General features: G+C 42.0%; 1 protein-coding gene across 25 annotated transcripts in view, besides 3 other annotated features; it reads right to left on the bottom strand.

Annotated features, from left to right (window-relative positions):
• CAP1 (cyclase associated actin cytoskeleton regulatory protein 1) overlaps positions 1–15,280 on the bottom strand; it is a 32,409-nt gene that overhangs the window by 1,258 nt on the left and 15,871 nt on the right. For 7 of the 25 annotated variants that reach the window (NM_001350479.2, NM_001350478.2, NM_001350477.3 and 4 more), the window contains 11 exons: positions 11,933–12,057; positions 11,221–11,324; positions 9,579–9,656; positions 7,021–7,164; positions 6,832–6,917; positions 5,071–5,176; positions 3,674–3,851; positions 1,517–1,701; positions 1,109–1,232; positions 879–961; positions 412–555 (listed from right to left, as the gene is read on the bottom strand). In NM_001350479.2, the coding sequence (NP_001337408.2) occupies positions 412–555; positions 879–961; positions 1,109–1,232; positions 1,517–1,701; positions 3,674–3,851; positions 5,071–5,176; positions 6,832–6,917; positions 7,021–7,164; positions 9,579–9,656; positions 11,221–11,324; positions 11,933–12,044 (1,344 nt within the window). In that variant the 5' untranslated portion in view covers positions 12,045–12,057. The remainder of the gene's footprint in view (positions 1–411; positions 556–878; positions 962–1,108; positions 1,233–1,516; positions 1,702–3,673; positions 3,852–5,070; positions 5,177–6,831; positions 6,918–7,020; positions 7,165–9,578; positions 9,657–11,220; positions 11,325–11,932; positions 12,058–15,280) is intronic. The other 18 variants (XM_047431628.1, XM_047431520.1, NM_001350482.2 and 15 more) reach the window with 3 other exon arrangements.
• Positions 353–1,552: an enhancer, noted in NCBI's record as "BRD4-independent group 4 enhancer chr1:40535511-40536710 (GRCh37/hg19 assembly coordinates)". NCBI's record gives its function as "activates an origin of replication core promoter dependent on BRD2, P300/CBP, MED14 and CDK7 cofactors, and independent of BRD4, by STARR-seq in HCT116 cells {active_cell/tissue: HCT116}" and the evidence as "EXISTENCE:reporter gene assay evidence [ECO:0000049][PMID:35650434]".
• Positions 11,722–12,483: an enhancer, noted in NCBI's record as "OCT4-NANOG-H3K27ac hESC enhancer chr1:40524580-40525341 (GRCh37/hg19 assembly coordinates)". NCBI's record gives its function as "activates a minimal SCP1, AML or CMV promoter by ChIP-STARR-seq in naive H9 embryonic stem cells {active_cell/tissue: H9 hESC(naive)}" and the evidence as "EXISTENCE:reporter gene assay evidence [ECO:0000049][PMID:30033119]".
• Positions 12,067–12,116: an enhancer, noted in NCBI's record as "active region_828". NCBI's record gives its function as "activates an Ori minimal core promoter by ATAC-STARR-seq in GM12878 lymphoblastoid cells {active_cell/tissue: GM12878}" and the evidence as "EXISTENCE:reporter gene assay evidence [ECO:0000049][PMID:35858748]".

Raw genomic sequence — 15,280 nt, 5'->3', positions numbered from 1 at the left:
TCTCACACATTTCTCCCAATGCTTGCTTCCACTTAACCCCAGGAGCACGGTACAATGTAGCAAGAGACAAACCCACAGAGCCATGCTATGTTCTAGTGTTCAGCGATCTTGGACAGACTATTAAGTCTATGGGGTGTAAATAACAGTACATATGGCTTTATAGCACCAGCCTGACAAGGTGCCATGGCTCATCCCCATTATTTTTTGCTACCTTGAGCTCCACTTAGGCAGAAAGCACCTACCTTTGGGGCTCCACTACATGGGACTACCTCATTTCTGTGTACTTTTGGTGTGCATTATTGGGTTTTTACCTGCTCAGTGCAGAATGTTCATAAAATAGCTTTCTTCAATGCCAGAAATCTTCAGTCCCTTCTGTTTTTAACATCATACTAAAGAGATCAAGAAACTTACAAAGTCACCGCCTTCTGTAGGAATGAGGACATTCATCTCGGAAGATTTGGCACTGACTATTTCACAATCCAGGGAATTCTTGCTCAGGTAAGCATGGCAGCCATCTGTTTTGTTGATGGATATGGTTGGCACTTTACCCATTACCTGCAGAGTAAACAAAGAGAACTGAGTCCCAGTGGTTGGGAAGGACAACAGTAAGTCGCAGGAAAAGGTTTCCTGTTTCACGTGACTCAGCAACTACATGAAAAGCTCACAGATGCGCAAGACACTGGATACTCGGGTGGGTTGGGATGGGTCCTGAAAAGAACTTGCTTGAAGAGCCAACCCTTCTTCTGCCACGTCCAAAGCAGCTCAGCTTACAGACTTTGTAGAATCAGATTCCCACCAAAGCAACATCTGTGGGTCTACCATGTCTCTTTGAATTAATTCCTCAGGGACAAAAAGAAGGAGCCAAAATATCGAGTTACCTGAACTTTGACATCCTTACTGTTGATTATCTCCACAATGCCCACCACGTCATCGAATACCAGGCCAAGTTTCTTACAGTTATCTAGGAGAAGAAAGGGAGTGTGTCAACGTGTAACTTTAAAGGAAAGTAATATACATTTAGGAATCTTTAAGGATAGGGTAGGTAAAATGGTATTAGCCTTCTCGGGCTCTGGGACGGGGCTTGCGTGGGACAGCGACAAAGACTCACCTACTGTAATGGAGTTAATTTTGCCCTTGATTTGCAATGTCGTGTTGACACACTTGTATATGTAAGCCACCTGTTTCAGCTCTGTGTCCTCAATCACCAGGTTGGAAACATTTTCCTGATTTTCCTGTTAGAGAGAGATCCCAGGATTCTCATCACAAAGCACACACCGAACAAAAAATAACCAGGCTATCCCAAACTTTTTGTTCTTGCAATTGAAGCCAGAACTCTGCCCTCATCTAGCTAAGCTCCATTTAACCTCCTGTTCCTACTCCTTTTCCCCGGGAGGCGGAGGTTGCGGTAAGCCGAAATCGCGCCACTGCACTCCAGCCTGGGCGACAAAGTGAAACTCCATCTCAAAAAAATAAAATAATAAAAATACCTGCCCCTGTCTAGGTATTTTTAACTCACCACTCTCCACTTCTTGCCCTCCAGTTCAAGTACAGCTGGCTCCTTCTTTGTGGCTCGTTTGGGGGATGGGCTGGTTTGGGGTTTAGGTGCAGAGAATGGTTTGGGGCCACTGCGTACTGGACCACTCTGAGCCTTCAGGGCAGGGTTCTTGTGAGTCTTCATGTCATCAGATACATGTTTCAGGGCTGTAAGAACAACAGCTACCTTGTTCCTGTCCTTCATACCAGACCTTTGAGCTGCTATCGTCATGTTAAACATCCTTAACAGAAAATTCAAAGCCAAAACCAGAGCCTTTGAGATGTTCTCTTGCAAGCAGTTTTGGAAAAGTACTTTTATCATTTCTCTTCTCCCCAAGATTAAATTATATGGTTCCATTAACAACAACATGGAATGTGTGTATATTGTGGGTGAGGATAAGGATATGTAAATCCTTATCCTCTATGTCTAGAAAGACATATCAAATGTATGTGCACAAATATATAATTTTTAAAGCAATAAAGAAAAATGAGTGGTAGTAAAGAAAATTTGGTAAAAGGAAAAGAAAAAAATACCCTCACTCCCCACAGCTAACCCTACTTCCCCCACCTCCTCAGTCAGTGTTGGCATTTGCAACTCTACAATATTGTTTTCTACATATATTTGGTTTTGTTGGTTATAATCATACAGATTGTTAACAAATTTAGTTCAACTATTGACACTTAAAAACTTTCTCATGTTAACCTGTAGTTTAATATCTTTCTAGGCCAGGCGCTGTGGCTCATGCCTGTAATCCCACACTCTGGGAGGCCAAGGCAGGCGGATCACCTGAAGTTAGGAGTTCAAAACCAGCCTGGCTACCATGGTGTATTTTTAGTCTCTACTAAAAGTACAAAAAAATTAGCCGGGTGTGGTGGCAGGTGCTGTAGTCCCAGCTATTTAGGAGGCTGAGGCAGGAGAACTGCTTGAACCTGGGAGGCAGAGATTGCAGTGAGCCAAGATCACGCCACTGCACTCCAGCCTGAGCAACAAAGTGAGACTCCCATCTCAAAAAAAATAAAATAAAATAAAAAATAAAAGTAAAAATATATTTCTTTTATGTTTTAAGGGAAAAATAATTCATCATCTCCCACAGCAGGCTGACACACGCCTCGCTTTGAACATGGCCAGATCTATGTTAACTGTATAACAAATACTGAATGGCCTTTTTATCTCCACCATTCCTTGTGGTTGTAATTTACATACTAGATTTTTTTTTTCTTAAACATTACATGGTTCACTGTAGAAAAACATGTAATGGTGGCACAACATTTCATCAAGAGGCCGGGCGTGGTGGCTCACACCTGTAATCCCAGCACTTTGGGAGGCCGAGGTGGGCAGATCACCTGAGGTCAGGAGTTTGAGACCAGGCTGACCAACATGGAGAAACCCCATCTCTACTAAAAATACAAAAAAAAAAAATTAGCCAGGCATGGTGACGCATGGCTGTAATCCCAGGTACTCGGGAGGCTGAGGCAGGAGAATTGCTTGAACCTGGGAGGTGGAGGTTGCGGTGAGCCGAGATCGCGCCATTGCACTCCAGGCTGGGAAACGAGCAAAACTCCGTCTCAAAAAAAATAAAAAAATAAAAAACATTTCATCAAGAGGACATGTGGTAGTTAGCCATTTCTCTTACAGTTGGATTTAGGTTGTTACACCATTTTTAGCTACTATGATCATAGATTCCTAGAAGTGGCTGGACAACTCAGACTTCCACCAGCTGTGTTAAGGGTATCTACTTTATACCAACATTAGGTCACTCTCATGCAAATTTTCCATGTAACCAGTATGCATCTTCTGAGGAAGTTAACTCCCTAACACAATGCCTTCCCAGAGGCCATGTGGTGCCACGGAAAAAGCTCTGGGGAAAACCGCCAGCTCTGTGCCTTGGCACAAGAGGGTCCTCTATATATGCTACCTAATATTAAGTCACTTTCCCATGGGGCAGATGGCTTCCTCCAACTGTGATCATCATTTTCAATTTCCATTTAAGCCAGCTTTGCCGTCCCTTAAAGGAACAGGACACACCAAACGAGTCTCCACCACACAAGCCAGGGTTGTAGTTTACAGACGGTTCTGGTTGGTGGGGTCTGGCCCACACAACTTGTTGTACCTACTGTTCGTGTCCAAGTGCTCACTCACCATGTGTAATGCTCTCCCCCTGATTAATCTGCGCGAACAGTGATGAGCGGGAAGCAGACTCATATGAGCATGAAATGGTAGAGACTGGGGGAGGAGGGGGGCATGGTGGAGGGGGAGGAGGACATGATCCGGCAGAGGGTCCAGATGGCAGTCCGCTCAGTTCTTTTGCCACAGGCCCCTGGAACAATAAGTGCAGGTAACATCATCATCCTCTCTGCTCCCCTCTGTACCATTCCCAGTAGTGCCCTACATGGGCCAGTGCACATGGGGTCCCCACCACAGCCTTTGAGGCAATGATTAATGTGTCCTACCCATACCCAACTTGGCTTTATGCCTTCTCACCCTTTCCCAAGGATCCAGCTCTCAGTTCTATTTCTTGACCATCACATTTTGCCTTTGAACTCACCTGATTCCAGCTCTAAAAACTATTTCCACAAATCTACTTGACATCTTCCTTAGTGTGTTACCAGTACCTCTGATTCAACAGATTCAAAACTGATTTCATCATTTCCTGCCGCTCCTCTCCCTGTACAATCATCCCCTTGTCCCTATTTCAGTGAAAGATGTTACTATCCAAGACTGACTATTCAATCTTCTTTGAGGATTCCAACTTCTTCGACCTTATCAAATCTCTATTATCTTGGTGCTATCTCCTGCAAATGTTTTTCTACTATCCCCCAAACACCATGACCACTTTCATAATCTGAGCATGAGTCCTTATCCCTAACCTATACACTGAGACTCTTTTAAAGACAAATTGAATCATTATCACTCCCTTGCTCAAATACCTCATCCCAAAGTCTCAGCCTACCTTCCTTTCCAGCCTTTTCTCCTAAAATTCTGATCATTTCCCCTTATTGAAGCCAGAGATGACCAATCTCTACATTTACTCTGCATGTATTTTGTTTAAGCTGTGCCTTTTGTAGTATCCCACTTCTCACTGCCCTATACTACTTTCAAGTCTCACAGAAGAGTATATACCTTCAAAGTACAATCTCTTCTAGTGAGAAGCACTCTTCTCTTCCTCATACTCTAGTCTGTATCTTTATTATAGCATTTGGCTTGGTGATTTGTATTGGGGTTTTGCATTCTTATTTTTAAGCTCCTTAAAGGCTGGGATAGTGTAACTCATTTGTGTGTGTCTCCTGCTCCAGCACCAATCACTGTCCCTAACATATTTATTGAAATTGAATACCACTGAATATTCCTTCTCCTCTGATCCTTGCTTCCTCTACTCTTTTTACCCTTTCTTTCTCCTCCTTTTCTTCCTCCCTTCCACTGAAAAAACTAGCATTCCCTCACAGACTTTGGTAGTGCTGAAGTCTAAGAAACCTGTGGACCCCATGCTGGAGAGAGAAAGTGGGAGGGAGGGAGGGAGGGAGGAAGGATTCACTAACCGTTTTGCTCCAGGCCAGTCCGGTGGTATGGAACTCCTTAATGTAAGCCTGCAGCTCTGTCCATATACTTAAATAAGCTTTGACCCAGTCTACATGCTTCTTATCCCTGGGAGGATTAAAGAAGAACTTGTCACAGGTGATCCGGGTACATAACAGTGGTGACTCCAGAACCCTTCTTTCCTATGGGCTCACATTCTCCTACCCGTGGTGTTTCTTAGGCTCCGCTCAATGGCAGCTTTTCTATCATCACCAGCTTCTATGTATATACAACCTAGTCTATTACCCTAATCAGACCAAACTCCACTAAGATAGAGACTCTGGATTCTATCTCTATCTCTCATAGCAATGTTTCTCAAACTGTTTTAAGTACCAAAACTTTTTTTTTTCTTTTGACCACTTGCTGCTTATTGAAACTTTTTTCAAAGTAGACCTTAAACACAATCTAATATGTAAAACTGATAAAAGCAGACATTCTGTGCATAAAACCATGGTAGAGAGGAGAGCTCTTAAGTATCACTGTGGAACTCTAAAGACTAAGAAACTTAACTGCCTTATGAGACAATGCCTTATGTCAAAATATGCCCACCCTGACCAAAAGCAAACTTAAAAACTTTCCCTTAGGGGGAAACAATCAGCCTTAAATTATAGAAATAGCATTGTGCCTACGGTTCAAGTCCCCTCTCTTCTTATGTATTAACTGGGAAGGTTATTTAGCCTAAGACCTAGTTTCCTCAACTGTAAAGTGATGGGATAATGGTGGGATATATCAAAACACTGTCATGCTTAATTCCATGTTGCTAGAAGGATAAGGAAGTGCCTGTTGTTCTGGGACACATTTCACTCACAGGAAGGTGTAGTTTTCCTTAAAAAGAGTAGTTAATAAATGTTTGTTGATTGATGAAGGATGGAAGAAAGGAAAGGCTTGTGTAGATATGCAACTTAATAAATTTTGCCTGCAATCATTCCAGCTCAAAACCAGCAATGGAGAAGTCAGAACTGGTAGACGTATGTGGTTAGACATGCAATGACTGCCCTACGTAATACCTGCATTGGCTAGGCAGCCTTACTCTCACTTTAACTGACTTCATGAAAAATTTCTATTAAGTCCTATTGAACCCTTTGCCATTGGGCCAGTAACAAATTCTCAACAAAGGAACAAAATCTTATATAAAGGGCATTAGTCCATGTTACTGCCAGCAAAACTTCCTAAACCCAGAAGGGTAAGGATCAGAAGACTAAAAGGGCCTCTACCAAAAAAGGAGAGAAAGCAGAAGTGGAAGCAGAAGTATTTCCTGCTTGCAAATGCAGCTGTGAGACAATATCTGTAAAGCTCTCCAGAAAGCAGCCCTGAGATAAAACCAGCACAGTGGCTAAGGGCAGCCCTCAGTAACTCCAAAGTGCTACTCCAGCAAGTAACCAAATGGGTTTATCCTTTACCCCTTGAGAAAAAGCTGAACTTGGCTGGGCACAGTGGCTCACACCTGTAATCCCAGCACTTTGGGGAGACCAAGGCAGGAGAATCATTAGAGACCAGCCTGGGAAACAGTGAGACCTCATCTCTACGAAAAAATTAGAAAATTAGCCAGGCATGGTGGAGCGTGCCTGAAGTCCCAGCTACTTGGAGGACTGAGGTGGGAGGATTGTTTGAGCTGGGAGGTTGAGGCTGCAATGAGCTGTGATTGTGCCACTGTACTTCAGCCTGGGTGACAACGCAAGACACTGTCTCAGAAAAGAAAAAAAGAGAGAAAAGGCTGAACTTACACATCTTTGTACTCTTTGAGGACTCGGTTTGTATAAAACATGGCGGCATCATTCATTTCTTTCACATAAGGGCCAGGCTTGGGAGCCTAGAGAGAGACAAGCTGTCAGTGACTCAGGACCTCTCCAACTATATTGCCTTCCCTCTTAAAATCTATACCCACCCCCAGCCCTGGAATCTGCGCTGCTCACCATAGCCACCCAGCCCAGGGCCTGGATACTTTCGCTGACAGCTGACAGGTGATTAAACAACTTGCTGCCTCGGTTCTTCTCCCGAAAGGTTATCACTTCTTTGATCTGCTCTGAGATGGGTGCCAACAAATCGGAAAGCTTATTCTAGGAAAAGATACAAGAAAAGATTCAGGTTAACATCTTTCCACAAAGGTGTCTATGCCTTCTGATCCTGAAGGCAAGAATTCTCTATGGACTCTAGTGAGCACCCAAATAAACTGCATGAGTCCTGTCCTGATTCCTAAGGCTAAAATACTGCTCATCATCTCACTCTCCTCGTAGAGTTCCAACTCCTCAGGCTGCACCTGATGGTTCTTCATGATCAGGACCCATACTTCAGCTATACCACAGAACCTCCATTTCAGCCACCTGTCTCTTTTTTGTTCCACTCAGAGGACATACACTCAGGACATCATTCCTGTGCCTTACTCATGATGTTCTCTTTTTTTCCCATGAATCCAAATTTTCCTCATGCTTCATGAGGGCCCTCCAACCCAGCCACACCAGCCTCCTACAGCATTTGTTGTCAGCATAACCAATCTTGGCATTTTATCACTCACCAATACAAACTATTAATGGACCCATGTGAATATGTTTTACTTTCTCATTAATTCTTCAAAGACGAGCTCTTTTATCATCATGAAAGCCCCCAATGCATTGCCAGCCATATAGTAGCTGCTGTAAAGAACTGATGAATCAAATGCAATTAGGGGGCTTAGTCTGGGCATGGTGACCCACGCCTGTAATCCCAGCACTTTGGGAGGCCAAGGCAGGAGAACTGCTTGAGACCAGGAGTTCAAGACAGACTGAACAACACAGCACAACTTTGTCTCTACAAATAATAAAAAGAATTAGGGCCAGGCATGGTGGCTCACGCCTGTAATCCCAGCACTTTGGGAGGCCAAGGTGGGCAGATCGCTTGAGTCCAGGAGTTTAAGATCAGCCTGGGCAACATGGGGAAACCCCATCTCTATAAAAATACAAAAATCAGCTGGGCATGGTGGCGCATGCCTGTAGTCCCAGCTATTCAGGAGGCTGAGGTGGGAGAATCACTTGAGCCTGGGAGGTGGAGGTTTCAGTGAGCCGAGATCCTGCCACTGCACTCCAGCCTGGGCGACAGAGAGAAACTCCATCTCAGAAATAAATAAATAAATAAGTAAGTAAATAAGCAAGCCAGGCATGGTGGTGCACACTGTAGTCAAGGCTACTCAGGAGGCTGAGGTGGGAGGATCATTACACCTGGGAGGTCAAGGCTTCAGTGAGCTGTGATTGCACCACTACCCTCCAGTCTGGGTGACAAAACAACACCCTGTCTCAAAAAAAAAATTTTTTTTTAAACATAAATAAAATAAAAAACAATTAGGGGCTTAGCATTCAAGTAGGCACCTTGGCAAAATGGATGAATTTTGTTTGTGTTTGCACCCTTCCTCCAAAGCTCCATTTCCTGAACATCTCAATTCTCAGATCTTAACCATTCAGGACAGATTAAGAATTAAAATCTAATTCTACATATTAGAATTAGATGGCATCTATACACACACACACACACACACACACAATGTTTTTTGAGAGAAGGTCTTGCTCTGTCGCCCAGGCTGGAGTGCAGTGGTGTGTTCATGGCTCACTGCATCCTCAAACTTTCAGGCCCAAATCTTCCTCCCATTTCAGCCTCTCAAGTAGCTGGGACTATACGCATGCACCACCTTGCCTGGCTATTTTTATTTATTTTATTTTTTTAATTTTTAATAGAGACGAGGTCTTGCTATGTTGCCCAGGCTGGTCTCAAACTCCTGGCCTCAAGTGATCCTCCTGCCTCAGCCTCCCAAAGTGCTGGGATTACAGGAATGAGCCAGCACACTTAACCAGAATCTAATATATTTGACATTATCTTGCACTATTTTTATATTATCTAGGCATGCTGAGGGTCAAGGGTTTTAATACAGCATTTAGGACAACTTGCTTTATTATTCCTCTGTAACTAGGAAAACCAAATGCAAAAGAAGGAAACCTATATTCTTTGACTCCAAGAGAAATCTAAATTTTCTCTAATTCAACTTTTCACATCTTGCACCATAAAATTTTGAGGTGGGAGTAAAATTAAAGAGAGAGTCTCCCAACCAGTGAAGGATGAGGAGAGAAGCAATACTGTAGGAGTTTTAAGATCTCCACAGGAGCACTACTAAAGCCCATCCACAGTGAAGCAAGAGAATCATCTTTAAAGGGCTTTGGAGACACTATGATGAATGTGGACTCAGCAAAGAGGCAGGCAAGCAAAGTCCCAGGGATAACCACAGTCCTATGCAAAATGACAGAGAAAAAGCCAGTAGAGACCATTAAGTACCCAATAGTACCTTCCCATTAAGGCACTTGAAGTATGGCTCTACCTCTGGGACTTGGTATGAACATATATTATCAAAAGCCTAGTAGGTCTATTTTAAAATGTTATAATAGCTTGACATAAATCTCTCAACTCGTCCTGAGCATCAAACCAAAATGAAACCAGCTAGTAGTGAACTTACTTCTGCTGGCTGTTGACACTGAGAAGCTGTAACCAACAGAGCTCGCTCCAACTTCAAACCTGTGTGGACCATCTCCGCCTGCCAGAAAGAAGAATCAGCTATTGATGACACATTATAACTAGAGAAGTCTTGATAAGAATAACCTGAAACCTCTACTTCCATGTACTCTGATAGCAACCCAGGCACTTCATGTTATCCTCCTCATGTATTCCAGATTCCAGGGACTGAGAGCAGAATTACATACACTACTGTTCCTATTGGAACTCATCAGGGATATATATCCAGAGTTGGAAGTGAAGTTAATTGGATAATCACCTAGCTTACATGAAGTCATGTTAGCATCTTACACATGCATTGTGATACCGTGCACTGAAAAATCCTTCCTATTTCACATCAGCAAAATAAAACAAACAGCAACCAAAAAAACACCTTTCTTTTCTCAAAAATTGGAGACAGGAGTAAAGGCAAAGGCCTAAATTTCTGCTGAAAATTCTCAAGGTATTTACTCCTTTAGATTAAAGCTATCTCTCAAATGCCAGATACCATGACCCATTAATAAATAATTAAATCAATTTAGTGAGCTTAATGGAACAAAAGTATGAGTGCAGTGCACCAACTTCAAGTTATTTCCAAATAAAAAGTTAAAAAAAAAAAAAGTACAGCAGAAGTAGTATAAATATCATCTTGTGAAACTTTTATCTCAGTTACGAATATGTTCTTTCTTTCTAAGGGTCATTCGCAGTCAAAAGAATTTAAGAAACATGAGACTGTAAGCACTATTAAAATACAAAAATTCAAAGAAAGCAATCTATTTTTTCTGGATTTGCATTTTTAAAATACAAATGATAAATGTTTTAAAGTTTTTTCAAATGTTACAGAACTGTATTAAGTAAAAATGCAAGCCTCCACACCCTTATTAAAGTCCCAGTCCCACTCTCTAGAGCTAAAACCATTGGCAACAGATGGTATTTGAGAGGCTCAAAATAGATTTTCCAAAAGCCAAGCAACCAGTCTTCGAGAAAGGTTTAGGTGAAGAAGTTCCCAAGCATGGTTACTGTTTATAATTCGGTGAGCTAGCAGGAAGGTTTTTGGGTCCCAAAAATAGAGGTAGAATGTATATGTGAGTGTGGGGTGGGGGTGGGGGGTGGTGGTGATGACGTAGGAGGCATAAAGGAAGGTGGGAGGAAAGGCACCTGTCATTGCCTACTTCATATTCTTGCTGTGGGTTAAGTGTGAAAATAACCCACATTAGCATAACTAATAACTATCAAGCATAGTTTTATAAATGCTAAGTCATGATAATGACTCCTTTAAATAAGCCACTGTAGGTTTGATTATGTAATATGTTGGGATCAAACTGGTGCATATTCTTCACTACAAAGATGAACAGAACCATATTTTATGTACCAAGCAAGCTTTCTGTATAAATACGTGATAAAAGCAAGGGGCCTAGAAAAAAATGAGGAATCGTTTCTGTGGCTAGACTGAACTCCTCAGTACAGGCAAAAGAGAAAGAACATGTGTAATGCCCCAAACCAAGAGGAACTTCTCAAGGAGCTCTTAAACCAAGGATGAGGACCTTGGCTGACTGAAGAAAGCTGTTAGTCCTTAAAAGAAGGGGAAAAAGGCAAAACATCCTTACATGTTTCTGCACGTCTCCCCCAATCTCTTTACTGATCTTCAAGTACTCTGCCACAGGACCAGCAAGCAGCGAGTCAAATGCCTGCACATATGGAGCTGCTCCTGCTAAAGACAAACACACCACAAAGAATCAGCCATGCATCAGAAGGAGGCTTCTTTAAAACGTGCTTCTACATGAAAGTGGGGAGGCAAGGTAATACAGTCAACAGGATACAGAACAGGAGTAAGGAAACCTGGGTTCCAGGTCCAGTATCACCACTAACTGGTTGTGTGACCCTGACTAAATTCCTTTTCCTCTCTGAGCTTAATTTTCTTTATCTATAAAATGAAAATAAACAAAATGATCCTCCAAGGTTTTTTTTAGTGCTAACATTCTATGTTCCAACTGGTGCATGTGCAAAATGTCCAATTTGCCAATTGTTTGGAGAGAGGAATTTTATTATCACTTGTCATTTGACTTACATTGGAGTCATTCTGCTAAAGAAAGAGCAGGAAATATTGCACAAGCAGGAAGTTCTTGTGTTAAAATAACTTAACCACAGGCCTCCCTGTACAAGTCATTTCCTCTCTTATCTGTTCACAGCAATACAAATTACAAAAGGTAAACTTTCTAGATTAAGTTTTGGGAAGTTAGCGCCAAAGGAGAGAATAATAGAAAATTTTCAGGCCAAGACGCTCAAAGAAAGCATTCTGCTGGGCTGTGGACTGCTTACCTTTTGAAGGACTGTCTGCATACCCACGGTGCATGTCAGAGGTATGAGATACTGCCTCCAGGCGGCCCACTGCCCTCTCCAATCTTTCTACCAGATTTTGCATGTCAGCCATAATGGACCACCTGCTGAAACAGATCAAATGTCATTTGTTATTTAAATATTAAATAGCACCTACAGAGAAAAAAACAGAAAATTCCTGGTCATCCCCAGGTGGATGAAGAGGATGCCAATTCTCAGGAACAGAATAATTTAATAAAATTAGATATCATCTGCAAAATGGAACAATACAAAAATATCAGATAAAAAAGTAGCATATTTACAAAATCAAAAGACCTCATTAAGCAAGAGAACTGCTCAGGAAAAGGTGTTCACTAAAGTAAATGCTTACTCATTCAAATACTCAATATTTACTATGATACTGTGTGTAGAAAGTTAGAATTTGCAAAGGATAGTCACATACATTATCTCAGTTTGAGCCTCCCGACAACTATTCAGGAATAGAAGGATGATTACTACACGCTTAGAGATAGAAAACTTAGTTTCAGTGAAGCTAAATGACTTGTCTAGTCACACGGCCAGTGAATAGAGAAGCCAGTACTCCATCATATCCTTATCTGATCCTTCTGGTTCTAAGTTCAGTGTGTTTTTTTCCTACAACATCCTGCTGCCTGCATGTGAAATATCCCAAACCAAGATGAATAGGATGTTTACTCTTCCCTCAATAATTTTTTTTTTTTCAGACAAAGTCTTACAATGTCACCCAGGCTGGAGTGCAGTGGCAGGATCTCAGCTCACTGCAAGCTCCACCCTGTTGGGTTCAAGGGATTCTCCTGCCTCCCAAGTAGCTAGGGTTATAGGTGTGCGCCACCATGCCCAGCTAATTTTTTGTAGTTTTAGTAGCGACAGGGTTTCACTGTGTTGGCTAGGATGGTCTTGAACTCTTGACCTCAAGTAATCCACCCGCCTTGGCCTCCCAAAGTGCTAGGATTACAGGCGTGAGCCACTGTGCCCGGCCTGCCCTCAGTAATTTATAGTCTAATGGGGAGACTTAACATATGCACTAACAACTATGAAACAAATAGAAAAAAATGTTAAGGTGACATAAGAAAGTTGCTGATAGAGAGGCATGAGATTTCAAAGAGGGGAGTAATATATCAGCTGGAAGGATCAGATAAGGATATGATGGAGAAGCTGCCATTTGAGCCAGCCTTCAAATGAAGATGAGAAAGATCTGGACATGCAGTAGGGAAGGACACTAGACACATCCAAAAGAATTTGTTATAGATCTTTCACAAGTACTATCTTATCTGAAATAGCCTAATTCAATGTCTAATATCCCAAAGAAAGTAAGCTCCAACAGAGAAAGGACCTTATATAGCTTGTTCCTTACTGTATACTCTACCATCTAGACTACTACCTGGCAGGTAGTAGATGTTCAATAAATATTTATGAAGTTATAAACCTCACAAATAGCATTCCAAAACTCCAGAGGGATAAGGGTGCTAAAAGTTGCCCATAAGTCACACATAAGTGTAAAATATGATCAATGCACCTCTACATAAAGTATTTGAGACCCTAAGTGATCTCATAAAAACCAGTCAGTGAAATTTCAATCCAAGCTTTGACTTGGAAAGATTCCATTTCACAAAAGCGTCAATTCAGGCAACTGAATTCAGTTCAGGTAACTGAAGCTGAATGAACTCAACTCCCTTGAAGCTGCCTAAAATGACAACAGCAATTATGATTCCCCCAAAGATGACAGCATGCCAGAATTATCTCAATTTAACACATTGTCCTCCCTGTGGAAGAGATAAGCAGCTCACAAGATAAAGTAAGGAAGACAATATAGTCTCTGTCCATTCTCTGTGTACAGGCTCTGGTCTCTGTGGGCCCAATCACTTGTCAGAGAGTGTTGTTTAAAAGAGAAGCAAAGAAAAAAAATGAGAATGAGAACCAAACAAACCTTTCCATTCCTTGGCCTGCAGCAGCAGCAGAAGCCTCCAGGTCTATGTCCTACTCTCAAATAGAGCAGACCATAAGCAGTCAACATACTTTCCCTAATGTTATGACACTATCAACTGATATCTGAATTCCTGCCCTGTTCCATTATGCATACTGATCAAGAGACAGACTCACATATATATACAATCCACCACACTGTAAGTCCAGGGGAAAAGGCAAGGAACGCAATAAACTCCTAAGCTACCTTCCATGAACAGATACCACTCAGTTCTGTTATTAAAACATGTTCCTTCATACATGGATGTTTCAGGTTGAGACCACTGTTAACATGGAGACACAGTACATGTATTGCTAGAGGCTGCCAGAGTTTGTGAACATTTACCAATCTTAAATGCTTAATAATAGAGCTTCATGGGACTTTGGCTCCCTTTTTCCATATTTCATTTGTATTTATAGGCTTTCACTGCTAAACAAGCTAAAGTTCCGCTGTCTGACTTAAGCAGAATGAAAAAGGACAATACAGCTACCATTTATAGCTAATCTCATTCTACCATTAACCAAATACAAAAGAACAGAAACTGTTTTTTTTGCTCTTGGTGGGAGTAAGATGAGATTTGAGATGTTATGGAAAATAATGTCCAGAATTTAAGTATGACATTGTATGTGTGTGTAGAGAATGAGATTCAGTTGTGTGAAAGACACACCTTTTCTTATTCTCTATACACACGTACATTCTTCCGGTGGTCATGTACACTCCTAAAGCCTCTGACTACCCTTGTTGTAGTAACACCCAGCCTATTTGCGAGGTGGTACCACCATAACCACCTATAGACTAAAGACTACCAGAGCAGCATATCCATCTAGCTCAGGCCATTCATCTGGGATTAAATTTTAGATTCAGGCCAAGTACTGTGGCTCACAACTACAATCCCAGCACTCTGGAATGCCAAGATGGGAGGAAGTGTTTGAGCTCAGGAGTCCACGACCAGCCTGGACAACATGGCAAAATTCCATCTCTACAGAAAATAAAAAAATTAGCCGGGCATGATGGTACACACCTGTAGTCCCAGCTACCCAGGAGGCTGAGGTGTGAGGATTACCTGAGCCCAGGAGGTCGAGGATGCAATGAGTAGTGATTGTACCATGCACTCCAGCCTGGGTGACAGAGTGAGACCCTGTCTCCAAAAAAAAAAAAATCCAGCTTTCACCTAGACATCGCTACCTGGATGTCCCAAAGGCAACCTGAAATGTCCAAAAGCAGAAATCATATTCCCTAACATTGCTCCAGCACTGCTATCAATCACCTGATTGATCAAGTCAGTAACTGGAAACTGTTGGGCAGTATTATATAGTGGATAAGAGTGTTCTTTAGAGAAATCAGAGAGA

This window comes from Homo sapiens, chromosome 1 (genome assembly GCF_000001405.40).
Source record: "Homo sapiens chromosome 1, GRCh38.p14 Primary Assembly".
Taxonomy (NCBI): domain Eukaryota; kingdom Metazoa; phylum Chordata; class Mammalia; order Primates; family Hominidae; genus Homo; species Homo sapiens.
This window is presented reverse-complemented; position numbering and strand designations above follow the sequence as displayed.